General features: G+C 55.0%; 2 protein-coding genes across 15 annotated transcripts in view, besides 6 other annotated features; one reads left to right on the top strand and one right to left on the bottom strand.

The window, feature by feature from the left end:
• NIBAN2 (niban apoptosis regulator 2) overlaps nt 1-20,833 on the top strand; it is a 73,689-nt gene extending 52,856 nt beyond the window's left edge. For all 4 annotated transcript variants that reach the window (NM_001035534.3, NM_022833.4, XM_011518925.2 and 1 more), the window contains 11 exons: nt 1,013-1,118; nt 2,330-2,497; nt 8,235-8,350; nt 8,960-9,064; nt 9,157-9,319; nt 15,843-16,030; nt 17,045-17,200; nt 17,638-17,754; nt 17,976-18,083; nt 18,198-18,309; nt 18,745-20,833. In NM_001035534.3, the coding sequence (NP_001030611.1) occupies nt 1,013-1,118; nt 2,330-2,497; nt 8,235-8,350; nt 8,960-9,064; nt 9,157-9,319; nt 15,843-16,030; nt 17,045-17,200; nt 17,638-17,754; nt 17,976-18,083; nt 18,198-18,309; nt 18,745-19,331 (1,926 nt within the window). In that variant the 3' untranslated portion in view covers nt 19,332-20,833. The remainder of the gene's footprint in view (nt 1-1,012; nt 1,119-2,329; nt 2,498-8,234; nt 8,351-8,959; nt 9,065-9,156; nt 9,320-15,842; nt 16,031-17,044; nt 17,201-17,637; nt 17,755-17,975; nt 18,084-18,197; nt 18,310-18,744) is intronic.
• Nucleotides 594-1,146: an enhancer, noted in NCBI's record as "H3K27ac-H3K4me1 hESC enhancer chr9:130287309-130287861 (GRCh37/hg19 assembly coordinates)". NCBI's record gives its function as "activates a minimal SCP1, AML or CMV promoter by ChIP-STARR-seq in naive H9 embryonic stem cells {active_cell/tissue: H9 hESC(naive)}" and the evidence as "EXISTENCE:reporter gene assay evidence [ECO:0000049][PMID:30033119]".
• Nucleotides 1,787-2,286: an enhancer, noted in NCBI's record as "H3K4me1 hESC enhancer chr9:130286169-130286668 (GRCh37/hg19 assembly coordinates)". NCBI's record gives its function as "activates a minimal SCP1, AML or CMV promoter by ChIP-STARR-seq in naive H9 embryonic stem cells {active_cell/tissue: H9 hESC(naive)}" and the evidence as "EXISTENCE:reporter gene assay evidence [ECO:0000049][PMID:30033119]".
• Nucleotides 2,287-2,788: an enhancer, noted in NCBI's record as "H3K4me1 hESC enhancer chr9:130285667-130286168 (GRCh37/hg19 assembly coordinates)". NCBI's record gives its function as "activates a minimal SCP1, AML or CMV promoter by ChIP-STARR-seq in naive H9 embryonic stem cells {active_cell/tissue: H9 hESC(naive)}" and the evidence as "EXISTENCE:reporter gene assay evidence [ECO:0000049][PMID:30033119]".
• Nucleotides 21,051-21,924: an enhancer, noted in NCBI's record as "H3K27ac-H3K4me1 hESC enhancer chr9:130266531-130267404 (GRCh37/hg19 assembly coordinates)". NCBI's record gives its function as "activates a minimal SCP1, AML or CMV promoter by ChIP-STARR-seq in naive H9 embryonic stem cells {active_cell/tissue: H9 hESC(naive)}" and the evidence as "EXISTENCE:reporter gene assay evidence [ECO:0000049][PMID:30033119]".
• Nucleotides 21,770-21,889: an enhancer, noted in NCBI's record as "active region_29043". NCBI's record gives its function as "activates an Ori minimal core promoter by ATAC-STARR-seq in GM12878 lymphoblastoid cells {active_cell/tissue: GM12878}" and the evidence as "EXISTENCE:reporter gene assay evidence [ECO:0000049][PMID:35858748]".
• Nucleotides 22,675-26,034, bottom strand: part of LRSAM1 (leucine rich repeat and sterile alpha motif containing 1) — a 52,016-nt gene continuing 48,656 nt past the window's right edge. For 8 of the 11 annotated variants that reach the window (NR_168892.1, NR_168891.1, NM_001384142.1 and 5 more), the window contains 2 exons: nt 25,033-25,166; nt 22,677-23,402 (listed from right to left, as the gene is read on the bottom strand). Coding sequence is in view for 9 of the 11 variants with exons in the window: in NM_001384142.1 (NP_001371071.1) it covers nt 23,277-23,402; nt 25,033-25,166 (260 nt within the window). In the remaining 2 variants the exon portion in view is untranslated. Of the gene's footprint in view, nt 23,403-25,032; nt 25,167-26,034 lie in introns of all 11 variants that reach the window. The other 3 variants (NM_138361.5, XM_047424058.1, XM_047424059.1) reach the window with 1 other exon arrangement.
• Nucleotides 25,105-25,606: an enhancer, noted in NCBI's record as "H3K4me1 hESC enhancer chr9:130262849-130263350 (GRCh37/hg19 assembly coordinates)". NCBI's record gives its function as "activates a minimal SCP1, AML or CMV promoter by ChIP-STARR-seq in naive H9 embryonic stem cells {active_cell/tissue: H9 hESC(naive)}" and the evidence as "EXISTENCE:reporter gene assay evidence [ECO:0000049][PMID:30033119]".

Below are 26,034 nucleotides of genomic sequence, written 5' to 3'. Positions count from 1 at the left end.
CCCACCTCGGCCTCCCAAAGTGCTGCGATTACAGGCGTGAGCCACTGCACCCGGACTGTAAAGATTTGCATTTCTAGTAAGTTCTCGGGTGGTGTTGAAGATCAGAGACCATGTTTTGCAAATCAGTGCCCTACAGGTTCTGAGCTACTTTCAGGAACTGTGTTGTATAGTGACACCTAGTGGCAGGGAGTAGCATGGTAGCCCTGCTGTATGAGCTATTCCATCAGAACTGCTTTGCCCCCTGCTACTGGTGTAAGTTTCTAGACCTAATTCTCCAGAGGACGCTTGTGTGATGCTCAGAACCTAGGAAATTGGTGGGGGCAGTTCAGGGTAATGGTCAAATACCCCAGGCTCTGGAGATAGATAGCCCTGGTTCATGTCCTACATCTGCTACTTCCCAACTGTGTGAAGTTGGGGGTGATCCACCTTTTGAATTGGGAAAATTCTGTGAAATTAAGCATGCAATGCCCTTAGCACAGGGCCTGGTATGTAAGAAATGCTTAACTAGTGGAGCTGCTGGGAACAGAGGCAATAGCAGCAGTAGAAACAGAACAACAACCTCGGCCAAGCTCGCTGAGTCCTTGTGGTGTGCCAGGCACTGCAGATTATCTCACTCAGTCCTCACATGGCTCTGTGAGGCAGGAATGGTTATTACCCTGGTTTTGTTTTTATTTTAAAATGTTTTCCCCATCCTGAATATTCTTGATTCCCTGGTTTTATAGATGAAGAAGCTGAAGTTTAGGCATTTAAGGAATTTTATCCTCAGCATCACACAGACACTACCCAGTGAAGCCAGGAATTGAGCCCAGAGCTGGGGTCTAGGTTGCTGTGGATGCCACACTGCCCCAATCACCATGATAGTGACATTCTCCCCTCTGTTCCTCTCTTGCCTCTTCTTCCTTTCCCTTCTCCTCCCCACTTTGGGCCACACTGAGTAGGGCCTTGAAGCCAGGTGGGATTTGGGCTTGGCCGCACCTTAACCCTCAGGGACCCTCTCTCTTGCCTCCCTCAGGCCTATGAGCGGCAGGTCCCACCACGAGCCGTCATCAACAGTGCAGGCTACAAAATCCTCACGTCCGTGGACCAATACCTGGAGCTCATTGGCAACTCCTTACCAGGTAAAGGAGCACCCATCCCAGGCCACAATGCCCTGCACAGGCATCTGGAGCTGGCCAGGGGAGGGGTGGCCCTGAGCCCATTGCTTTCAGCCCCATGTTTGCGGAGAGACCAACTAGGCTTAGAGCTGTGGATGGAGACCTCATTGTTTGCCTTTCGCATCTCCCTAAGTCCTTGAGAGCCTCCTGGAAGATGTTCAGTGACCTTCCCTCGTAAACCTGTGGGTCAGCACTGTGTTCGTCAGGAGTTACTCTTCTTGGCATCCTGCTTTTGCTTCACCTTGGCTGAAATTCCCTAGAAGCCTTACGGGAACAACATTGGCCTCTCTGATGATCCCTGGGAACTAGAGGGCAGGGGACATGCCTGCCTGGGGGGCAGGTCATGCCCCAGGGACTTGAGAGTAGAGTCATGCCTTCATTCTGTGGTGATGGAGGGCCTGGGCATTCCTGGATTCGAGCGGCATTCCTGGATTCCAGCAGCATTCCTGGATTCCAGCGTGACTCTGGCTTTGTTTCACTGTGTCTGCTTGGGCGAGTCACCCCCCCTCCCCTGAATCTCAGCCTCTTCAGTGTCTACAAAGCACAGGCACTAAGAGGACTGCCCTCGGGGTGTTGTGTGGACCCTGGAGGGGCACAGGCCAACCCAGAGCCAGGGCAGAAAGAAGAACTGTTATTGTCATATCATTAACAACAGTGGCAGGGTCACAGCCCAGGACCAGTTATCTCGCTGGATCTTACATATCCTTGAGAATGAAATTGAAGGAGGGAAAAATTCCTTTTGCTGTATTTTGTCCCTCCCCACATGCCTCCCTCCCCCTGTGGACACTTAAGCCACACTTTGGCCTCCACAGCCGAAATCTGAAGGGAAACCCAAGAAGGTAGTGCTTGACCCTTGAACCTGGGGGCTCTGACCTTGTGTTGTTTGTGCTTTACAGAGTTTAAAACCTAACCCAAGAGTGGGGTGGATGTGACTTATTACCCACTCTAAGAAATGGGTCTGCACGGATGCTGGACTCAGGTTTTGGGCTGAGGAGAACACAGCCAGAAAGAAGGCTGCTCCCACCCCCGCCGGCTTGCTGGTCACCTTGGGACAGGCTGGCCTTCTCTGGGCCTGAGCCTGACCTCAGAGCTGATGCCAAGGGATCAGTTCTCTGACATCCTCTGGTGGAGGGCAACCACAGAGGGCAGCTGCTCATCAGGCACTGTCTCCACAGGGACCACGGCAAAGTCGGGCAGTGCCCCCATCCTCAAGTGCCCCACACAGTTCCCGCTCATCCTCTGGCATCCTTATGCGCGTCACTACTACTTCTGCATGATGACAGAAGCCGAGCAGGACAAGTGGCAGGCTGTGCTGCAGGACTGCATCCGGCACTGCAACAATGGTGAGTGGCCTGTGGGTGCAGGGTCGGTGGGAGGGAGGGGCAGGACCTGGGTTATTGCTGAATGGTGACACCTAGTGGCTGACTATGGTGTGGCAACCCTGCTCTACAGGCTGTTCTAATTTCCCTTCTGGGGTTATAAGAAACCATGTAATACCACCCTTAGTCTTCTTTCTTGATGAAAACAGTTTTGTGCTGCTCAGGAAAAAAGTAGGAAATTATTCACAGAGGGGTGTGGTTGTTGAGCCCTTGGACCCTGAGTCACAAAGTCACAATCCTGATTCTGCCATTTTCCAGCTACGTGACCTTAGGGAACTGACTTACCTCTTGGAGGCTCTGTAAAGTGGGGATAATGCCTTGTGTGTCTTAGGGGGGTTATGAGGATTTAGAGTCTACCTCATGCTTGGTAAAGATTTTTTTTTTAATTTTATATATATATATATATATATATATATATATATATATATATATATATATATATATATATATTTTTTTTTTTTTTTTTTTTTTTTAAAACCACCAACCTGCAGGGTGATTTGGAAACTTCACTGCCTCCCTCAGGGCCTCATTGCTCTCATCTGTAAACTTATGGGGTGACTCTTCCAGCTCACTCATTTATTCAACAAACATTTTTAGTGTCTACTCTGAGGAGGCCCAGATTTAGGCACTGGGTGTGCAACAAGGGAGCAAGAAACATTCCCTGCCCTCCTACAATTGGCAGTCTGGTAGGGGAGACAGATGATAGACAGATGAGGATGCCAGCACGATGGCTCACAGCTGTGCTGGGTGCTGGGTGGAGCCAACCTGGGAGCCTGAGGGTGTGTGTGTGTTGGGGGAGGGGTCGATCAGGGCAGGCTCCCTTGAGGAGGTTATGGTTCAGCTTCAGCAGAGACCTGAAGGAGAAGTCCCAGACCTGAAGGAGGAGATGCCAGAAGTCCCAGGGCCCCTCATATCCTGCATAGAGGAGAGGGGAGGAGTGTTCCAGGCAGAGGTAGGCAGTCAGCATGAAGGGAGACCCACAGGTGGTAGGGGTAGGCCCGGAGGAGGAACTGCACGAGGCCCTGAAGCAGGGAGGGGGTGACCTGAAATGGGGCTGGAGGGGGGCCTCTGGGGTCAGGTCTGGAAAAGCCTTGAAGGCCTCTAAGGAATTTGAACAGAAAGGCTGAGGATGGTCTTCCAAGGTGAGGGTGGGTCCCTGGGGGTCTTTCTGCCCCTAGGGAAGGAACAACCCAGTCCTGGACACTGAACTGCTTCCAGGTGATCTGGCCTGAGGGAAGCTCCTGCCCCCGCCCCACCCTTGGGCGCAGTGCCACATGGTGCAGAGGTGGAAGGTTGCAGGGGACGGAGTGGGCGCCAATGGCCTCTGGGCTGCTGCCGTGGGACTCAGCTCACCCCACCCCTCCTGCTCGCCTCTCCAGAGCCACCTCTGCCCTGTCTGGAATCTGCCAAGCAGGAGGAACCAGGTCTTCAATCAGGCCAGCCCCTGCCACCTGGGCCCAGCTGCCCACAAAGGGCCTCCTGTTCCCAGGTCCCGGGGACTGTGGGCTGGGACTGGGTGGAGGCACTCAAGGCTCTGGCTGCCTGGCCCAGGGCCCTCCCGCCTCCCCAGCCCCTGGCCTGGTGCCATCTCTCCAGGTTTCCAAGGCTAACGGCTGACCTGGCCTGGCAGGGTGGGTGACCTGCGCCAGATAGGGAAGGGGTGGGCACAGAACAAGGTGGGGAAGGGCCACCTCAGTCCCCCATGTGTGCAGTGGGGATGATGATAAACTTGAGCTTGAGAGATGATTGGGAAGAGCTGGTCTGGGTGGGGCACTTGGCCGTGGGCCTGGCACGCACAGTGAGCACTCAGTGGGGAGGCCATGGGGGAGTTCTTGGTTCTAAGGTGCAGTGGACCAGAGGGAGGCCCAGGAGAGCTGCTGGGCCAGGGAATGAAGGGGTGTCCTGTGCCAGGAAGGTGTCCTGCCGGGTGGCCCCTTCTCCCCAGGGCGGGAGCTGACGAGGCTGGTTTCAGGCCTTCCTTCCACCCTGCGGACTGTGAGAAAGTTCTCTGCTTCCTCCGTCTTGGAGGCTGGGCTTGGAATTTGTGAAGCCTGGAATTGCTCACTCCGGGGGCTGCCAGGAAGTGGGGGGTGGGGGGAAGGAGGCCAACTGGGCGGACACCAGCGGTCCCAGGGACCCCTTCACATCCTGCATTCCTGGAGCAGCTGGGGGTGGCAGGAGGCAGCTGGGGCACTGGCTGTGCCGGGTCCTCAGTGTTGGCCTGGGGTGCAGAGGTCAAGGCTTCTTCCTGTCTGACCGTGGTCCCCCTCTGTCTGCTGCCTGGGAGTGAGGAATGCAGTTTCCTTTCTTGGAAGGTCTCCAGGTCTGGCTAGAGTCAGCTGGTCCTGGGTTCAAGCCCCGCTCTGCCATCCACTAGCTGAGTAGCCTCGAGCAGTAACTGCCTCTCTGAGCCTCAGTTCTTTCCCTGGGAAAAGTAGGGCACAGTGAGCTGAGGATTCAACGAGCTGATGTGTGTGCAGCCTCAGCCAGGGCTGGGGCCTCAGTTTCCCAAGACTGCCATAACAAATACCACAGACCGGGCAGCTACACAGCAGAAATATGTTCTCTCCCAGCTGGAGGTCTGAGTCGAGGGCAAGGTGTCAGCAGGGCTGGTTTCTCCGAGACCTCTCTCCTTGGCTGGTGGCCGGCCGCCTTCTCCCTGAGTCCTCACAGGGTCATGCCTCTGTGTGCCTGTGTTTTCTCTTCTTTCAAGAAGAAATGTACTTTTCTTTTTTTCTTTTTCTTTTTTCTTCTTTTTTGAGACAGAGGCTTGCTCTGTCACCCAGGCTGGAGTGCAGTGGCGCAATCTCGGCTCACTGCAACCTCCGCCTCCCAGGTTCAAGTGATTCTCCTGCCTCAGCCTCCCGAGTAGCTGGGACTACAGGCGTGTGCCACCACACCTGGCTAATTTTTTGTAGCCAGAATGGTCTTGATCTCCTGATCTCGTGATTCTGCCGCCTCGGCCTCCCAAAGTGCTGGGATTACAGGCGTGAGTCACTGTGCCCGGCCAAAATGTACTATTCTTTTAAGGGCACTAGTTGTATTGGATTTGGTCCCATCCTCATCCCCTCTGTTTAACTTAATTCTTTAAGACTCTAGGACCAAGGGCGGGTGCGGTGGCTCAGGCCTGTAATCCCAGTGCTTTGGGAGGCTGAGGTGGGTGGATCTCTTGAGGTCAAGAGTTTGAGACCAACCTGGCCAACATGGTGAAAACCCATCTCTACTAAAAATACAAAAATTAGCTGGACATGGTGGCGGGTGCCTATAGTCCCAGCTACTTGGGAGCTGAAGCGGGAGAATGGCTTGAACCTGGGAGGCGGAGGCTGCAGTGAGCCAAGATTGCACCACTGAACTCCAGCCTGGGCGACAGAGTAAGACTCTTCTCAGAAAAAAAAAAAAAAAAAAAAAAAAAAGACCCTGGGTCCAAATATAATCACGTTCTGGGGTACTGGGGGTTAGGACTCCAGCATATGAATTTGGGGGGTGTGGAGACACACTTCAGCCCCTAACAGCTAGGCTCACGGGAAGAGCTCAGGAGGGGTGACCCTGAAACTTGTCACACTCAGCGGCTGGGTGTGCAGAAAGAGAGAATCCCAAGGGTCAAGGCTGGCTGGCCTCCCTCCCGCTGTCCCGGCCCTCTGCCTCACCTTCTCGCCACCTGGAAAGCAGGCCTGCCCTGCACACCTGACTTGGTGCATGCAGGATGAAAATTCCCTCTCCCCGTGGGAGTGCCTGCAGGTAACGCACTGTCCAGATTTTCCAGTCAAAACTTGGTTTCTAGGAAACCATGCCCTTCTGAGAGGCGGGTGGGGTGGCGGGGGGACCTCCTTCCCTGGCCCAGGTGGGCAGCCCCCACCCAGGGCTCTGCATGCTGCTCCAGCTGGAACATCCCTGCCCTGCTCCTGTCACTCCTGCCTGACTTCAGGTCTCTGAAATGCAGGAGTGAGACTCCCACAGGCCCCCGTCCCCATCCAGGCAGCTGCGCTGTAGGGATGAGGGCTGGGCCTCCCCCTGCTCAGCTCCCTCCCGGCTCCGACAGGCAGTGATTTCTGTGGTCAGCTGGGTGTGGGGAGAGGAGGGACCCAGAGAGGGGCTTTTTCTCTGCCGGTGGTGACTCAGCCCATAGTCATGGCAGTGGGAGCCTTAGGTTTCTGATGCACAGGCTTCCGTTTCCCCTTCCTGGGCTTTGGGGATGCGGTGGTCAGAGGCACGCGGCCAGGGGAGTCTGCCTGCTGCCTGGCTCGGTGGCGTTTGACCACCTTCTTACCCCAAGTCAGATTTTGTAACTTCCTGCCAATTGCCTCCCGGGCACTGAATCTGGAGGTCCACGCCTCACTCAGGGGTTTACCTTGCTGGCGTTTGGGCCACTGACAGCACCAACAGTGACAAAAATTCAGAAATGGTGTTCTTCTAGCTGTTATTAATAGCAAACTCTTCCATTCTTTTTTTTTTTTTTTTTTTTTTTTTTGAGACAGAGTCTTACTCTGTTGCCCAGGCTAGAGTGCAGTGGCGCAATCTCGGCTCACTGCAACCTCTGCCTCCTGGGTTCAAGCGATTCTCCTGCCTCAGTCTCCCTAGTAGCTGGGATTACAGGTGCCTGCCACCATGCCCAGCTAATTTTTGTATTTTTAGTAGAGATGGGGTTTTGCCATGTTAGCCAGACTGGTCTCGAACTCCTGACCTCAAGTGATTTCCCCCACCTCAGCCTCCCAAAGTACTGGGATTGCAGGCATGAGCCACCACACCCAGCTTCATTCTTTAACAAAGTTATTCAAGCATCTGTGCCAGGTACTGACCTGGACTTAGCAGTAACAGGACAGACCCCGGGCCCAGTGGGGCAGGCAGCTGGCTCCTCAGTTATTGATAAAAAGTGTGGCGCAGAGCAGTGCTGGACCCTGATCTCCTGTCCCTACACTGTGGCCCAGGGAGCCCCGCAGTGGACCTGTGAGGCCATTGTTCCATTGTTCAGAAGAGGAAACAGGCCATTTCGGGTTCAGTGATCTAGAACCAGGCTCTGAAACCTATGGCCTATGGGCCCAGATCAGCCAATTGCCTGTTTCTGTCAACAAAGTTTATTGGAGCAGAGGCACGCTCATTTGTTTCTGGATGGTCCGTGGCTGTTTTTGTGCTGTGACTGTAGAGGCGAGCATTGCGGGAGGGGTTTTATGGCCTGCCGGGCTGAGAATATCTGCTGCCTAGCCTGTTCCAGGCAAAGTTTGAAGGGCCCTGATCTAGCAGTAAGGGAGGAACTGGGGCTCGAACAAGGGTCTCTGGGTGCCTCTAGGGCCATTCTGGGTGGCTGCTTATGGGACGGGAGCTTTTAGTCCTGGCTCTGCCACTCCCTGCTCTGTGACCCTGGGCCCGTGGCCTGTCCCCTAACGGTTGTCTCTTCATCTGTAATCATCTGTAAAGCAATAAGGTGAATGATAGTGCCCAGGTCTTGGGGTGGTTGGGAGGATTTCAGGAGCTAAGGAGGAGGCAAGGGGGCTGCCTTGTCACTGTTGGTGGTGGGGTCATTACTGCTTTTGCCTATCAGATACAACCATGACTGCTCTGATGACGAGGAAAGTGAGGGTCCCAGCTGCCCCTCCTGAGGTGCATGCCATGTGTGTGGGGGGGGTTTTGGTCAGTTCTCAGTTGGTCTTGGTAGAGGCCACTGGGCCATCTGCTGACCTCCTCTCTCCCTCCGTCTCCTGGGCAGGAATCCCTGAGGACTCCAAGGTAGAGGGCCCTGCGTTCACAGATGCCATCCGCATGTACCGACAGTCCAAGGAGCTGTACGGCACCTGGGAGATGCTGTGTGGGAACGAGGTGCAGGTGAGGCCAGACGGGCTGGTGAGGAAACCTCAGAAGTCACCCAAGGACCCAGCAGGGGAGGGCAGGGGGTGGGGTACAGAGATGGGGCTCTGGGGCGCTGCCGGTTTGGAAGGAGATGACATGCTTAGATTTGGACAAGTGCAGGGCCAGTGCACGTGGAGATACTCGCTGTCTTATTCATCACTTACTGGGCATCTGAGCACCTACCCTGGACGAGGCACTGGGGTGCAGCTGGGAATGATGTGGACAAATTCCTGGCCCTCAGGGAGCTCTCCGTATAGCAGGAGAAACAGACATTTGGCAAATAAATGTACACTTCCATGTGCAGGCAAAGCAGGGAGGGAGTATGGTATTCTAGGTAGGGAAGGCAGCCTGTGCAAAGGCCCTGGGGCTGGCCCTTGAGTCTGAGGATCCTACAGGACACCCAGGCAGATGAGTTGGGACCTGTGGGAATGGAGCTCAGGAGAGAGGGCAGCAGGGAGGGTGAAGCAATGGGCCAGTCGCGGAGGAGGTGGGGGCTGCAGCGGCCTGGCTTGTGGGAATGCAGAGAGAAACAGGCCAGCTGAGCGCTCTCCAGCCCCTGGCCTGGCTTGTGCCTCCTCAACCTAGATCCTGAGCAACCTGGTGATGGAGGAGCTGGGCCCTGAGCTGAAGGCAGAGCTCGGCCCGCGGCTGAAGGGGAAACCGCAGGAGCGGCAGCGGCAGTGGATCCAGGTGGGTGGGCCTGGGGCCCTGGAGCGGGGACGGGACCTGCAGCTGGTGCGGTGCCCTCAGCCCTGGTGCCAATTCAGCTGCTCTGCCCACAGATCTCGGACGCCGTGTACCACATGGTGTACGAGCAGGCCAAGGCGCGCTTCGAGGAGGTGCTGTCCAAGGTGCAGCAGGTGCAGCCGGCCATGCAGGCCGTCATCCGAACTGACATGGACCAAATTATCACCTCCAAGGAGCACCTTGCCAGCAAGATCCGAGGTAGGCAGCCACCCCCGTGCTCGACGGGCCCTCCAGGGGCCAAGGTGGACTTTCTTTTTATTTCATGATTCATGTAAATTTCACAGCAATGACTTGCTCATTGATCATTTGTAAGAATTAGAGCCAAATCTGCACTGTGGTACTCCAACCCCTGTGAGTTGTTTTGTGGCTATTATTTCTATAAGCCCAGAACTTGAAGAGAAAAATTTTTGTTCTGGAGGTTCAAGCCTTCTTTTCATCTCTGACTCGTCACAGATTTTTACCATGTGTCATTTTAAAGTACATTTACGTTCAGCAAGTATAGCTTTCCCAGGTCAGTTTATTCTGTCACCCAGGCTGGAATGTAGTGGTGCGATCTCAGCTCACCACAACCTCCGCCTCCCGGATTCAAACAATTCTCCTGCCTCAGCCTCCTGAGTAGCTGGGACTACAGGCACACGCGCGCCACCATGCCCGGCTAACTTTTGTGTATTTAGTAGTGATGGGGTTTCACCATGTTGGCCAGGCTGATCTTGAACTCCTGACCTCGTGATCCGCTCACCTTGGCCTCCCAAAGTCCTGGGATTACAGGCATGAGCCACTGTGCCCAGACTGTACGCCTTTCTCTTCCCAGCCAGATGGGATCCTTTCACCAGCTTGGTCCCCATAACACATCTGCAGAGCTCAGTTTTAGCAATTGTCAGTTGCCCATGGGACGTTCTTTTTATTTTATTTTATTTCATTTTATTTTATTTGAGACAGGGTTTCACTCTGTCGCCCAGGCTGCAGTGCAATGGCACGACCTTGGCTCACTGCAGTCTCTACCATCCTCCCACTTCAACCCCCCAAGTAGCTGGGACTACAGGCATGTGCCACCACGCCCAGCACATTTTTGTATTTTTTGTAGAGACAGGGTTTTGCCATGTTGCCCAGGCTGGTCTCAAATGCCTGAGCTCAAGCAATCCACCCACCTTGGCTTCCCAAAGTGCTAGGATTACAGATGTGAGCGACTGTGCCCAGCCATTATTATTATTATTATTTTGAGATGGAGTCTTGATCTGTTGCCCAGGCTGGAGTGCAGTGGCACAATCTGGGCTCACTGCAACCTTGCCTCTCGGGTTCAAGCAATTCTCCTGCCTCAGCCCCTCAAGTAGCTGGGATTACAGGCACCTGCTACCATGCCCAGCTAATTTTTGTATTTTTAGTAGAGACAGGGTTTTGCCATGTTGGCCAGGCTGGTCTTGAATTCTTAACCTCAAGTGATCCACCTGCCTCGGCCTCCCAAAGTGCTGGGATTACAGGTGTGAGCCACTGTGCCTGGCCTGTTTTTTTTGTTTGTTTTTTTTTTTTTTTTTTTGAGACGGAGTCTCGCTCTGTCGCCCAGGCTGGAGTGCAGTGGCGTGATCTCGGCTCACTGCAAGCTCCACCTCCCGGGTTCACACCATTCTCCTGCCTCAGCCTCCTGAGTAGCTGGGACTACAGGCGCCCGCCACCATGCCTACCTAATTTTTTGTATTTTTTAGTACAGACAAGGTTTCACCGTGTTAGCCAGGATGGTCTCGATCTCCTGACCTCATGATCCGCCCACCTCGGCATCCCAAAATGCTGGGATTATAGGCGTGAGCCACCGCGCCTGGCCGCCCGGCCTGTTTTTTAAGAGACAGAGTCTCGCTCTGTCTTCCAGGTAGAGAGCAGTGGTACAATCATGGTTCACTGCGTGACCTCCTGAGCTCAAGTAGTCCTCCCACCTCAGCCTCCTGCGTAACTGGGACTACAGGTGCAGGCCACCACGCCTGGCTAATTTTTAAATTGTTTGTAGAGAAAGGGGTCTTGGCTGGGCAAAACTCTATCTCTTTTAAAAATTTTTGAAAGAGAGAGAGAGAAGGGGGTCTTACTGTGTTGCCCAGGCTGGTCTCGAACTCCTGGCCTCAGACAATCCTCCTGCCTCAGCCTCCCAAAGCACTGGGATTACAGGCATGAGTGGCCGTGCCTGGTCTCCTGTAGGTTATTCTTTACTAGCCAGATCCTGAGTATTGGTTGACAGCTGGATAGGACACTGAGCATTGACATTTCTTGTGTGGAACAAAGAACGTTAGCTGGGCTGGGATGGGGGTGGACATCTAAATATTCTTGAGTGAAAATGCTTTGGTCAGAATGTTCTGGAGATGGTCCCCACCCAAAGGAAGAAGGCTTTTACATAATTATGCAGAGCCAGCCACACTATTCCAGAGAGGATCAGCCCAGTTTTTGTAAAACCAAGAGGCTCATTGAATCTACTAAGGTATTTTTCATTGCTGTTGTTCTTTTTGTTCAAACGAAGAAGCAAGACCCATCCTAAAGGAGTTTTTGTCTACTTCTAGCTAAGCAGAACACTGCTGACACCTCTGGGCTGGCAGTTTTCTTATTTTATTTTATTTTCATTTTCATTTTTAATTTTTGTGGGTACATAGTAGGTGTGCATATTTATGGGGTACATGAGATGTTTTGATCAGGCATGCAATGTGTAATAGTCACATCATGGGAAATGGGGTATCTATCCCCTCAAGCATTTATCCTTTGTGTTACAAACAATCCAAGTATATTCTTTTAGTTTTTTTTTTTTTTTTTGGACACAGAGTCTCACTCTTCTTGCCCAGGCTGGAGTGCAGTGGTGCCATCTCAGCTCACCGCAACCCCTGCCTCCCAGGCTCAAGTGATTCTTCTGTCTCAGCCTCCCAAGTAGCTGGGATTACAGGCACATACCACCACGCCCGGCTAATTTTTGTATTTTTAGTAGAAATGGGATTTCACCATGTTGGCCAGGCTGGTCTCAAACTCCTGACGTCAAGTGATCTTCCTGCCTCGGCCTCCCAAAGTGCTGGGATTACAGGCCTGAGCCACTGCACCTGTGCAGCCTCTTTTAGTTACTTTTAAGTGTACAATTAAATTATTATTGATTATAGTCACCCTGTTGCGCTATCAAATACTAGGGCTTATTCATTCTGTAACCAGAAAGGGGTCCCGATCCAGACCCCGAGAGAGGGTTCTTGGATCTTGGGCAAGAAAGAATTCAAGGTGAGTCCATAGAGTTAAAGCAAGTTTATTAAGAAAGCGAAGGAATAAAAGAATGGCTACTGCGTAGACAGAGCACGAGGGCTGCTGGTTGCCCATTTTTATGGTTATTTCTGATGACATGCTAAACAAGGGGTGGATTATTCATGCCTCCCTTTTTAGATAGAGCATATAGGGAGACTTCCTGACGTTGCCATGGCATCTGTAACCTGTCATGGTGCTGGCGGGAGTGTAGCAGTGAGGACGACCGAGGTCACTCTCATCACCATCTTGGTTTTGGTGGGTTTTGGGCCACCTTCTTTACTGCAACCTGTTTTATCAGCATGGTCTTTATGACCTGTATCTTGTGCCGACCTATCTCATCCCATGACTTAGAATGCCTTCACCGCCTGGCAGTGCAGCCCAGTAGGTCTCAGCCTCATTTTACCCAGCTCCTATTTAAGATACAGTTGCTCTGATTCAAATGCCTCTGACATTTCTACTTTTTGTGCCCATTAACCATTCCCATCTCCCCCTCGCCCTCGACTACCCTCTCCAGCCTCTAGTAACCATCTTTCTACTCTATCTCCATGGGCTCAATTGCTTTGTTTTCTGCTTGTTTATTTGTCTGTTTTTACCTTTTTTATTGCTCCCACAGGGGAGGCCCCCTCCAAAATGTCAATTTGCTTTAATTTTTAGATCCCACAAATAAGTGAGGACATGTGATATTTGTCTTTCTGTGCCTGGCTGAATATAATGACCTCCAGCTCCAACCATGTTGTTGCAGATGACTGAAACTCGTTCTTTTTTACGGCTGAATAGTACCCCATCGTGTATATGTACCGCATTTTCTTTATCCATTCGTCTGTTATGGACACTTAGGTTGCTTCCAAATCTTGGTTGTTGTGAACAGAGCCGCAACAAACACGGGAGTGCAGATATCGCTGCGATGGGCTGATTTCCTTTATTTGGGTATATACCCAGCAGTGGGATTGCTGGATTGTGTGGTAGCTCTATTAGTTTTTTGAGGAACCTCCAAACTGTTCTCCATAGTGGTTGTACTCATTTACATTCCCACTGTGAACCCTGAAAATTTGAGGCAGGTCTCAGTTAAATTAGAAAGTTGATTTTGCCAAGTTGGGGACACGCACTCGTGACACAGCCTCAGGAGGAACTGATGACATGTGCCCAGGTGGTCAGAGCACAGCTTGGTTTTATACATTTTAGGGAAACCTGAGCCATCAATCAACATACGTAAAATGGGCCGGGCACAGCAGCTCAAGCTGTAATCCCAGCACTCTGGGAGGCCGAGGCGGGTGGATCACTTGAGGTCAGGAGTTCGAGACCAGCCTGGCCAACATGGTGAAACCCCGTCTCTATTAAAAATACAAAGCTTAGCTGGATGTGGTGGCGCATGCCTGTAGTCCCAGCTGCTCTAGGAGGCTGAGGCATGAGAATTGCTTGAACCTGGGAGGCAGAGGCTGCAGTGAGCCGAGATCGAGCCACTATACTCCAGCCTGGTCAACAGAGTGAGACCCTGTCTCAAAAAAAAAAAAAAAATGTAAAATGAACATGGTTCAGTCCGGAAAGGCGGGAGAACTTGAAGGAAAAGCAGGACAACTCAATGCAGGCATGAGGCTTCCAGGTCATAGGAAGAAAAGAGACAAATAGTTGCATTCTTTTGAGTTGATGATTAGCCTCTCCAAAGGAGGGAAGCAGATATGCATTAATCTCAGTGAGCGGAGGGGTGACTTTGAATAGAACGGGAGGTGGGTTTGCTTTAAGCAATTCCCAGCTTGACTTTTCCCTTTAGCTTCGTAATTCTGGGGGCCTAAGATATTTTCCTTTCACACCACCAGCAGTGTACGGAGGTTCCCTTTTCTCCACATCCTCGCTAGCATTTGTTATTTTCTTTTTTTTGGATAAAGCCATTTTAACTGGGGTGACGTGGCATCTCATTGTAGTTTTGATTTGCAGTTCTCTGATCAGTGATGTCAAGTACCTTTTCATATGCCTGTTTTGGGTTGAGTACCTTTCATATGCCTGTTTGCCATTTATATGTCTTCTTTGGGGAAATATGTATTCAAATCTTTTGCCCATTTTTAATTGGATTACTAGGATTTTTTTCCTATAGACTTGTTTGAGATCCTTATATTTTCTGATTATTAATCTCTTGTCAGATGGCAGTTTTCTTAGTTTTTTGCCATCATGGTTTCAGAAAGATCAGAGTCCAATCTCAGAACACCTTGTCATTTTTCCTGCATGGATTTCTCATCTTTATCCACTATTTCTCTGAAATCATTCAGCTTGCTAATGTTGCCCCCAGTGGTTTTTTTTTTTAAATAATATTGGCCAGGTACGGTGGCTCATGCCTGTAATCCCAGCACTTGGGAGGCCAAGGCAGGAGGATCACTTGAGCCCAGGGAGTTTGAGACCAGCCTGGATAACACAGTGAGACTCTGCCTCTTAAAATAATAATAATAATAAAAGTATTGATGGGGGCTGAGCGCGGTGGCTCACGCCTATAATCCCAGCACTTTGGGAGGCCGAGGTGGGCGGGTCACCTGAGATCAGGAGTTTGAGACCAGCCTGGCCAATATGGTGAAACCCTGTCTCTACTAAAAATACAAAAAAAAATCACCGGGCATGGTGGTGCACACCTGTAATCCCAGCTACTTGGGAGGCTGAGGCATGAGAATCACTTGAACCTGGGAGGCAGTGGTTGCAGTGAGCTGAGATCGTGCCATTACATTCCAGACTGGGCGACAGCACGAGACTCTGTCTCAAAAATTAATAACAATAATAATATGATGGGAAGAGAGAGTTGGGAGAGGGCTGAAAAATTACTTTTTGGGCACTGTGCTCATTACTTGGGTGATGAGATCAATCCTACCCAAAACCTCAGGGTCACACAATGTACCCATGGAACAAGCCTGCAGTGTACCCCCTGCATCTAAAATAAAAGTTGAAATAAAAATGATAATAATATTAGGAGGCTGAAGTGGGAGGATTGCTTGAGCCCAGGAGTTTGAGGCTACAGTGAGCTTTGATTATTCCACTGCACTCCGGCCTGGACAACAGAGTAAGACCCTGTCTCAAATAAAATAATAATAGGCCGGGCATGGTGGCTCATGCCTGTAATCCCAGCACTTTGGGAGGCCGAGGCGGGTGGATCACGAGGTGAGGAGTTTGAGACCAGCCTGACCAACATGGTGAAACCCCGTCTCTACTAAAAATATAAAAATTAGCTGGGCACAGTGGCACGCGCCTGTAGTCCCAGCTACTCAGGAGGCTGAGGCAGGAGAATTGCTTGAACCTGGGAGGTGGAGGTTGCAGTGAGCTGAGATCGCGCCACTGCACTCCAGCCTGGGCGACAGAGCGAGACTCCGTCTCAAAAAAAATATAATAATAATGATAATAATAGTAATACAGTAGCCTCCAGCACCTGGGCTCTGGGATGGCTGGGAGGTGCTCCTTGGGGAGCCCCTGCTGACCCGGCTCCCTCGGGGCACAGCCTTCATCCTCCCCAAGGCAGAGGTGTGCGTGCGGAACCATGTCCAGCCCTACATCCCATCCATCCTGGAGGCCCTGATGGTCCCCACCAGCCAGGGCTTCACTGAGGTGCGAGATGTCTTCTTCAAGGAGGTCACGGACATGAACCTGAACGTCATCAACGAGGGCGGCATTGACAAGCTGGGCGAGGTGAGGCCGGCACCGCCCCTAGGAGGGGGTCTCCTGAGAGTAGGTCTGGTCTGTCCCAGAGGGCCCCGGCTGCGTGACTCCGGGCAGCCGTTCCCCTCCAAGGCCGTCCCTGTAGACGGGGAGGGGCTGCTGGGGACTAGGGGCAGAGGCTGTGAGGCCAGGGCTGTTGGAGTCCTCGTGGGGCCTGCAGTTTGAGGAAAGAGGGAACATTAGCTCCCGGCCACCAGCCTTTAGAAACCAAGAGTGGTGCTAAAATAGAAAAGAATTTAACAGAAGAGAGGGAAGGAGGGAAGGAGAGGAGGGGAGAGGGAAGGAGGGAAGGAGAGGAGGGAAGGAGGGAAGGAGAGGAGGGAAGGAGGGAAGGAGAGGAGGGGAGAGGGAAGGGCGGGCTTCAGGTGGAGTAATGAGATTGATAAGGAAGAATTCACAAGTCACGCGCCCTCCAAATGGAGACAGCCGTTGCCCTTACTTGACCTCAGTTATCTGGCTCTCGGGGTGAACGTCCTTCCACAGTCTCCATCTTGGGCTGGCTGCCCGGAGCCCGCATAGTTGTCAGATTGAATTTATCCTGTATCTTAGTTTCCTCCTTTATACTCTGAAATGGGGAGTCCACAGACCATAATAATCCCAGAATCTGAGACCTGGAGAGGACCTTGGAGAGCAGGAAAGCTCTCTCCCAATTTTGAAGCTGAGGAAACTGAGGCTCAGAGAGGGTGAATGACTTGCCCAAGGTCACCCAGCACCTCAGAAGGGATGAGTGCCTTCTGCCGGCACCGAGGCTGCCTCTCCACAGCGCTGTGCCACTGGACTGCGCCCTCCATGCCTTCAGAGCCTCATGCTTCTGTCCTGGGCCCTCCTGGGTTTACCTTTGTGGCCATGAGCACCAGGTGGCCATCCCTGGTAGCAGGCGCCAGCCCCAGGGCCTGGACTTCGAGGACCCAGGCAAAGTGTGTGGGGGGTGCTGCCTGGCCACAGGGCGGCCCTGCTCAGCCCCCGCGGCCCCGGCCCCTGCAGTACATGGAGAAGCTGTCCCGGCTGGCGTACCACCCCCTGAAGATGCAGAGCTGCTATGAGAAGATGGAGTCGCTGCGACTGGACGGGCTGCAGCAGCGATTTGATGTGTCCAGCACGTCCGTGTTCAAGCAGCGAGCCCAGATCCACATGCGGGAGGTAGACCCGAGGCTACGACCCCCACCCCACACCCTGTCCACTGCCTTCCACAGGCCCCCTCGCCCAGGGGGTCCCTTCTGCTCCGTCCCGTCATGCCATAGCCACGCTTGCCTGGCACGCTCTCTCCTCCTCTGCTTGGAACATCTGTGCCTCTGCCCACCTGGCTAATTCTGACTCACTTCCCAGGTCTCAGCTTAGAGACCCCTTCCTCCAGGAAGCTCTCCTTGCGCCCCCAGGCCCCTTCCCATATTTCCTGTTGCCTTGAGGCAGGGACTTGCTCCAGCGTGCAGAGCTGTGAGTGGGCATAGACCGCTTGCCATTCCTCCCTGGCAGGCCTCGGGGTGGGGGGCTGGTTGAGGATGAGGACCCCTCAGCGGCACCCAGGAAGGGGCTGTGGTCACCCTGGGGGCTTCACATGTCCGCGGTATGCCCTGCAGCAAATGGACAATGCCGTGTATACGTTCGAGACCCTCCTGCACCAGGAGCTGGGGAAGGGGCCCACCAAGGAGGAGCTGTGCAAGTCCATCCAGCGGGTCCTGGAGCGGGTGCTGAAGGTGAGCGGCCCCACGCCCTGCCCCGGACCGTCCTAGGCGAGGCCGAGCCCCGAGCCTCATCCCCGGCCACCACCAGGATTGCTGTCCCTGCAAGGAGGCGCCATGGTCCTCTTGTGCGGATGAGGACTCGGAGGCTTGGGTCAGACCACTGGCCTCGTCCTACCCTCAGGGCCAATGGAGCCCACTGACCTGCAGACCCCCGACCCCCTTGTTCCCTGCAGAAATACGACTACGACAGCAGCTCTGTGCGGAAGAGGTTCTTCCGGGAGGCGCTGCTGCAGATCAGCATCCCGTTCCTGCTCAAGAAGCTGGCCCCTACCTGCAAGTCGGTGAGCAGCCCCCACCTGCTCCAGCCGTTTGGGCCCTAAGTTGGGGGATGGAGCCCACAGGCCTCCCTCTACCCTTGGCCCTGACCTCTCATCTCTGCCGCCCCACCCGGGCAGGAGCTGCCCCGGTTCCAGGAGCTGATCTTCGAGGACTTTGCCAGGTTCATCCTGGTGGAAAACACGTACGAGGAGGTGGTGCTGCAGACCGTCATGAAGGACATCCTGCAGGGTGGGTGCCGTCCCGGGGTGGGGACTGTTGCCAGGAGGATGCTGGGGGCGCAGCTGAGAAGTGGTGGCAGCTGAGGGGGTCAGCTAAGGCTCAAAGAAAAGCCCAGACTTGCACCTGGGGTCTGGGTGAAGCCCACTCTTCGCTGTGTGGCCTCCGGAGCAGCCTTAGCCTTGCGTCTCTGTGCTTTAGTTTCTTCTCGCGTCCTTGGCTTTGCTGGGAGGGTCAGAGGAGTGATTAGATGACATGTGGTCAGCAGCCTGGGCCTGGAGATAGCATCACGGCCTTGCTGCTTTCAGCAACGAGGCCTGGAATGAGTCACATCCCAACCACAGACCCCCAAGGCGGGATGAGACGGGTCTTCTTTGAGCAGAGTCCAGCACAGGGGCGGCTGTGGGATCAGTGCTGTGTCCTGACCCTTCCCCTGTGGCCCTGTAGCTGTGAAGGAGGCCGCGGTGCAGAGGAAGCACAACCTCTACCGGGACAGCATGGTCATGCACAACAGCGACCCCAACCTGCACCTGCTGGCCGAGGGCGCCCCCATCGACTGGGGCGAGGAGTACAGCAACAGCGGCGGGGGCGGCAGCCCCAGCCCCAGCACCCCGGAGTCAGCCACCCTCTCGGAAAAGCGACGGCGCGCCAAGCAGGTGGTCTCTGTGGTCCAGGATGAGGAGGTGGGGCTGCCCTTTGAGGCTAGCCCTGAGTCACCACCACCTGCGTCCCCGGACGGTGTCACTGAGATCCGAGGCCTGCTGGCCCAAGGTCTGCGGCCTGAGAGCCCCCCACCAGCCGGCCCCCTGCTCAACGGGGCCCCCGCTGGGGAGAGTCCCCAGCCTAAGGCCGCCCCCGAGGCCTCCTCGCCGCCTGCCTCACCCCTCCAGCATCTCCTGCCTGGAAAGGCTGTGGACCTTGGGCCCCCCAAGCCCAGCGACCAGGAGACTGGAGAGCAGGTGTCCAGCCCCAGCAGCCACCCCGCCCTCCACACCACCACCGAGGACAGTGCAGGGGTGCAGACTGAGTTCTAGGCCAGTGGGTCCCTGACTGCTGCACATGGCACAGGCCGTTCCCTTCCGGACCCAGGCAGGCTCAGCTCTGGGGAGGGCACCCTGGTCTGTGCCTTGTGGGTGGAGGCGGGGCAGGGCTGTGTGGCACCGCCAGGGAGCGGGCCCACCTGAGTCACTTTATTGGGTTCAGTCAACACTTTCTTGCTCCCTGTTTTCTCTTCTGTGGGATGATCTCAGATGCAGGGGCTGGTTTTGGGGTTTTCCTGCTTGTGCCAAGGGCTGGACACTGCTGGGGGGCTGGAAAGCCCCTCCCTTCCTGTCCTTCTGTGGCCTCCATCCCCTCATGGGTGCTGCCATCCTTCCTGGAGAGAGGGAGGTGAAAGCTGGTGTGAGCCCAGTGGGTTCCCGCCCACTCACCCAGGAGCTGGCTGGGCCAGGACCGGGAGAGGGAGCACTGCTGCCCTCCTGGCCCTGCTCCTTCCGCAGTTAGGGGTGGACCGAGCCTCGCTTTCCCCACTGTTCTGGAGGGAAGGGGAAGGAGGGGGTCTTCAGGCTGGAGCCAGGCTGGGGGTGCTGGGTGGAGAGATGAGATTTAGGGGGTGCCTCATGGGGTGGGCAGGCCTGGGGTGAAATGAGAAAGGCCCAGAACGTGCAGGTCTGCGGAGGGGAAGTGTCCTGAGTGAAGGAGGGGACCCCCATCCTGGGGGATGCTGGGAGTGAGTGAGTGAGATGGCTGAGTGAGGGTTATGGGGAGCCTGAGGTTTTATGGGCCTGTGTATCCCCTTCTCCCGGCCCCAGCCTGCCTCCCTCCTGCCCGCCTGGCCCACAGGTCTCCCTCTGGTCCCTGTCCCTCTGGTGGTTGGGGATGGAGCGGCAGCAAGGGGTGTAATGGGGCTGGGTTCTGTCTTCTACAGGCCACCCCGAGGTCCTCAGTGGTTGCCTGGGGAGCCGGACGGGGCTCCTGAGGGGTACAGGTTGGGTGGGCCCTCCCTGAGGGTCTGGGGTCAGGCTTTGGCCTCTGCTGCCTCTCAGTCACCAAGTCACCTCCCTCTGAAAATCCAGTCCCTTCTTTGGATGTCCTTGTGAGTCACTCTGGGCCTGGCTGTCGTCCCTCCTCAGCTTCTTGTTCCTGGGACAAGGGTCAAGCCAGGATGGGCCCAGGCCTGGGATCCCCCACCCCAGGACCCCCAGGCCCCCTCCCCTGCTGCTTTGCGGGGGGCAGGGCAGAAATGGACTCCTTTTGGGTCCCCGAGGTGGGGTCCCCTCCCAGCCCTGCATCCTCCGTGCCCTAGACCTGCTCCCCAGAGGAGGGGCCTTGACCCACAGGACGTGTGGTGGCGCCTGGCACTCAGGGACCCCCAGCTGCCGCAGCCCTGGTCTCTGGCGCATCTCTTCCCTCTTGTCCCGAAGATCTGCGCCTCTAGTGCCTTTTGAGGGGTTCCCATCATCCCTCCCTGATATTGTATTGAAAATATTATGCACACTGTTCATGCTTCTACTAATCAATAAACGCTTTATTTAAAGCCAGTTGCCTTGAGTGGTGCTGTTGGGGTAGGGGACGGGGGGCCTGGGCTGGGGACTATGTCTAGGCCCCCATACGGCTCGGCTTTCGGGGCTTCTCACTTGACTGAGTGCCTCTATGTTTATGATCTGAGTTCTTATTCCATTTTACAGAGAAGGAAACAGGCTCAGCGAGAAGGGACTTGTCCAAGGTGACCTGCCTTCTGGTGGCAGCACAGGCAGCTTCCTCAGCCAGACCTGTGCCGGGTGCCCCTCGGGCAGCCTTGGGTGATGGTGAGTCCAAGAGGGATGGCAGCAGGCAGCAGCTTCAAGGCCACTCAGGGCCCTGGGGTGCCCACAGAGGGGTGGGCCCAGGCTCGGGCTGGATCCAAACAGTGATGCCAGCTCCTTCAACGCTCCCGATCACACTCCTGTTTACCAAGCGCTCACTGTGGGCCAAGCGCCTTGTGTGCAGGAACAGCAGCCTCGAGAGAGCTCTAGAAAGTGGACACAGTCGTCACCACCATTTCACCGATGTGTACACTGAGGCCTTGGAAGGTGGGGACCTGGGCTGAGCCTATGTGGTACAGGAACAGCCCTCGAGCCCCTGCAGCTGTTGGGGGTGGGTTGCCCCATCTATGGGTAAAAACATGTCCCTACTGGTGGGGTGGCAGCCAGTCACCTTGGGGATGTTGGCTTCCCTGGTGCCAGCCTGTCCATGGTGGCCTAGGGCTTGGGCCTGGGCCTCCCTCGGTCAACAAGGGCTGAGGTGCAGAACACGGGGCTGTGTGGCCGGAGACCAGGGATGCGGCTGTCCCTTGCTGTTGTCCTTGGCAGGTCACTGAGCCTCGAGATCCTCCATGAGGCCTCCCTGGGCCCTAGTGAGAGCGTAAGGAGATCTGCAAAGCACTGCGCTCCAGGAGGTAGCCCCACCTGCCTCAGTCTCTCCCCTCTTGGCCAAGTTGAGCCCAGGAGGGTGTTGGGAGGAGGGGGAACTGAGGGGGAACTGTGGGTGGGAAAAGGCCACCCAGCTCCTGCCTGGGAAATGACTCACACGACAAAGGGTATTCGCCTGCCCTGTTCAGTGCACAGGACTGATGGTCTCAGTGAGAGGGAAACAGGCCCAGGCGTAGGGCTGTTCTGCCACCCCAGGACCTGAACTCTCCTGCCTGCTTCTGCGGACGCTGTACTTGGGGCAAGCACTCAGCGCCCCCTGGAGGCCACCAGCCGGTCAGGGCTGCATCACGTCCTGTGTTGAATGCACAGGGAAAGGAGCCCAAACACTGGCCACGATCACTGAATGAGCTGGAGGCAGAGCCCAGGTGCTCCAAGCAGGCCTGCCACGAGCCCAAGGAAGAGGCTGCACCTGGCTCAACGCCGTCTGCCGGAAAATGCATAATCAACGTGCACCTCTGCAGCGAGTGCAAGTGTATATGGCTCCAAGAATTGTGCAGTGACCAACCTGCACAACCGCACGGGCTTGAAGGTGAGGATGCTTCTGGGCCTCAAACCCCGCATCACCATGTCCCAGTTGCAAGGCCCTGAGCATTTACCCCCATCAGCCTCAGCTGCCTCACTGGGATAATGGACGGAACACACAGGGCTCCTCCGCTCATGGAGGCACAGGCCGCAGCCATCACCGGCCCTGGCTGCCTCTGGGCCCTGGTCTCTCCACCTGTGAAGGGGGCGCTGGGATAACACGACATTCGAGATGGCCCTACCTGACCTCTCCTCTCGACTGAGGTGCGGCGCACTCCTGGCTCCTTCCCCGAGAAGAGCTGCCCTCTGCCCGAGCCCCATCCCCAGACCTCGTCCCCTCCCCTCCCTGGGCTCCCATGAGAACCCAGTGATGACTCAGGCCAGAAGCGCACTGAAGACAGGTTTATTGACACTCCTGCTTCGGATCGAGCTACATGGGGTAAGGAGGGACAGTTGTGGAGAGCAGGAGGGCCCCGGGGTTCTGGGGAGCAGCAGAGAGGGAGACCCAGGGTTGCTGGTGCCACTGTGAGCACAGGCCTGCACCACACGCCTTCCCAGGAAGGCCTCCCCTCACCCAGCCAGGCCCTCCTGCTCCCTTCCCACATGCAGGGTGGGACGGGCCTGTGCATGGCCCCCAGATGAGGACCCAAGCTCCTGCAGGGGCGGTGGCCTTCAGTCAAGACAGCTGGGAGGCAGCAGATCCGTGATTAGGCTGGGACGCTGGCTCCCAGGCTCGGGTGGTGGTGCAGCGGCCTCTCCAGCCCCAGCCCCCAGGACCATTCAGACTGGTGGTGTCATGGATGAGGAGCACCTCTGCCTGGCCCAGACATGCTTGGAGCTTAGGATGGGGGCTCCTGGGCAGTGGGGAAGGGGCCCAGGGCAGGGGGGAGCCTCATACGAGTCTGGCTGGCACAAGGCTGAGCAGGAGCCCGGGGCTCACAGTGGCCGAGGCAGGGCTAGGACCAGGCCCAGGTGGGCGGGCAGCACTCAGCTGCTGTGGTAGATGCGGAGGCGCTGGGCGATGTCCTGGCGGCACAGCGGGCAGGTGCGCAGTGGCTGGCAGCACTGCTGGCAGCAGCAGACGTGGCCACAGTTGAGGAAGATCATCTGGGCCTGGGGAGGGAGAGCGGGAGCATGTGGCTGGCCCTACCGGGTTCCAGGAGTCCCAGGCCCGTCTTTTTTTTTTTTTTTTTTTTTTTTGAGACAGAGTCTCACTCTGTTGCCCAGGCTGGAGTGCAGTGGTGGGATCTCAGCTCACTGCAACCTCAGCCTCCCGGGTTTAAGTGATTCTCCTGCCTCAGCCTCCCAAGTAGCTGGGACTACAGGCGTGCACCACCATACCTGGCTAAATTTTTTGTATTTTTAGTAGAGATGGGGTTTCACCATGTTGGTCAGGCTAGTCTCGAACTCCTGACCCCAAGTGATCTGCCCGCCTCGGCCTCCCAAAGTGCTGGGATTACAGGCGTGAGCCACCATGCCGGCCCCCTTCATTATTCTTTAGCATCTTTACCATAAACGCCTGATAGTGGGGCCTTCGGGCATTTGACCACCACAGAAACAGAACAGGCACGGCCGAAACAGGTAACCTAGGCCTTCTGTTAGCAGTTTGCTGTCTATTTCTCTATAGTTTGTAAAAAATATAAATACCCATATAAATGCCCCAACTGATTCTTTCTTAAATAAAACTGGGGATTATATTCCTGCGCTCTGGACAGGCGACGGAGGCCTATTCCGCCGGCCCCTGCCGGAGGGCACGCAGGGTGTTCAGGCTTCTTTCTTGTTGATGCACTTGCCCAGGCCCTGAACTCCTCAGTCTACAAACAATCCCAACCCGGAGCAGCAGCCACTGACTCAGGACCACACTTTGCCTCAGCATCTCCTGCTTTCAGGAACTGATCCAAGCTCCGCTCAAAGCTGTCTGGAATGCCAAGGGCCCCAGAACAGGGATTATATTTGGAACCAATAGGTCCATCCATATCATGGCATGAGTCAGGTCAACGGGAGACCCTGGAATCATCAAACTGCAAACATGGCTGCTTTTCTAAGTAGGATCCCTCAGTGGAGGCAAAGGAGGATTTGTATTTCATTCACTGCTCTGTGTAATTTTTAGAGTAAGTGTTAATGAATTTTTAAAAGATGATTTTTTCTTTTTTTTGAGATGGAATCTCGATCTGTCTGCCAGGCTGGAGTGCAGTGGTGGGATCTTGGCTCACTGCAATCTCTGCCTCCCGGGTTCAAGCGATTCTCCTGCCTCAGCCTCCCAAGTATCTGGGCTTACAGGCGCCCACCACCACGCCTGGCTGATTTTTGTATTTTTAGTAGAGATGGAGTTTTACCATGTTGGCCAGGCTGGCCTCAAACTCCTGACCTCAGGTGATCCACCTGCCTTGGCCTCCAAAAGTGCTGGGATTACAGGCGTGAGCCACCATGCCTGGCCAAAAGATGATTTTCTAAAGCCTCTGCAGGGTAAATCATGTTGTTGATATTTCATGATTTGGGAAATTTTTTCCTAATGTATTTATTAAGTAGGAACAAAAAGAAAAAGGTCCGGAAAATGATGTGAGCGCAGCTCATATTTGGGTCATGGGACCAGGGGTCATCTTTATTTCCTGCCTTCTTTCTAGATGAGCACAGTCTACTTAGAGAACTGGAGAAAACACGTTCAGAGACAACCCTGTACCTGCAGAATTTGAGGAGGGTGGCCACAGGCAGGGCAGGCGGGTGGGGAGGGCCCCGGACTTACCTCCCGTTCCAGGCACACGACACACTCTGAGGCCTGCACCTCCAGCTCTGCAGGGGGAGCGGATGGCCTCACAGACTCAGGAGGCTCCTGGGGGGCCGTAGGGGTGACGACCTCACCCATTGGTGGTTTCAGCTCTGTGGGGACCAGACAGACAGACTGAGCCAGGGTCATCTCCGCTGACCCTAACCCCTGGGGGCTCATTGTGGCCCTGCCCATCCCCATGGTGAGTGAGCTGGAGGGTGGGGGAGCCTCTGCTCTCAGATCTGAGGGAAGTGCTCTCCTTGCCACACACTCTCTTCTTCTCTTCTCTGAGCCTCATTTCCCATCTGCAGAATGGGAGTGAAGTCTCTCTCTGCAGGGATGGCCGCAGCGCTTGTTAAGTGGGTCCTCTGATCTCTAATGTCCCCGGGACGCTTCATAGCCACCCTGCAAGTAGGGCTTGGCACTTTCAGAGATGAGACATTTGAGGCTCAGAGACGGGGAGTCACTCAACCCAGGGCCATGTGGCCATCTGGTGATGCAGCTGCAGATCCCTGGGGCAGGAGCTCTCAGTGAAGGGCCAGCTCTTGGCTTCTCCACCTGGTTGCCCAGGAGACAGGATGGGCTGCTGCCCATCAGGTGACCCAGGGGAGCAGAATGAGAGGCCCCCCGCAAGGCTGTTCCCCTGCCCCCAGCCCCACAGAGTCCCCAGCATGCTGGCTGCTCTGCCCTGGAGTCAGCATCCCCTGCTAAGACATCAGAAGCAGCCCTTACAAAATGCTAAGTCTCTTTTTTTTTTTTTTTTTGAGACAGTCTCGCTCTGTCACCCAGGCTGGAGTTCAGTGGCGCGATCTCGGCTCACTGCAACCTCTGCCTCCCAGGTTCAAGCAATTCTCCTTCCTCAGCCTCCCGAGTAGCTGGGATTACAGGTGCCCACTATCACGACAGGCTAATTTTTGTATCTTTAGTAGAGGTGGGGTTTCACCATGTTGGCCAGGCTGGTCTCAAGCTTTTGACTTCAGG

This window comes from Homo sapiens, chromosome 9, assembly GCF_000001405.40.
Source record: "Homo sapiens chromosome 9, GRCh38.p14 Primary Assembly".
Taxonomy (NCBI): domain Eukaryota; kingdom Metazoa; phylum Chordata; class Mammalia; order Primates; family Hominidae; genus Homo; species Homo sapiens.
The sequence above is the reverse complement of the archived record's forward strand: the minus strand, read 5'-3'. Positions and strand labels throughout refer to the sequence as shown.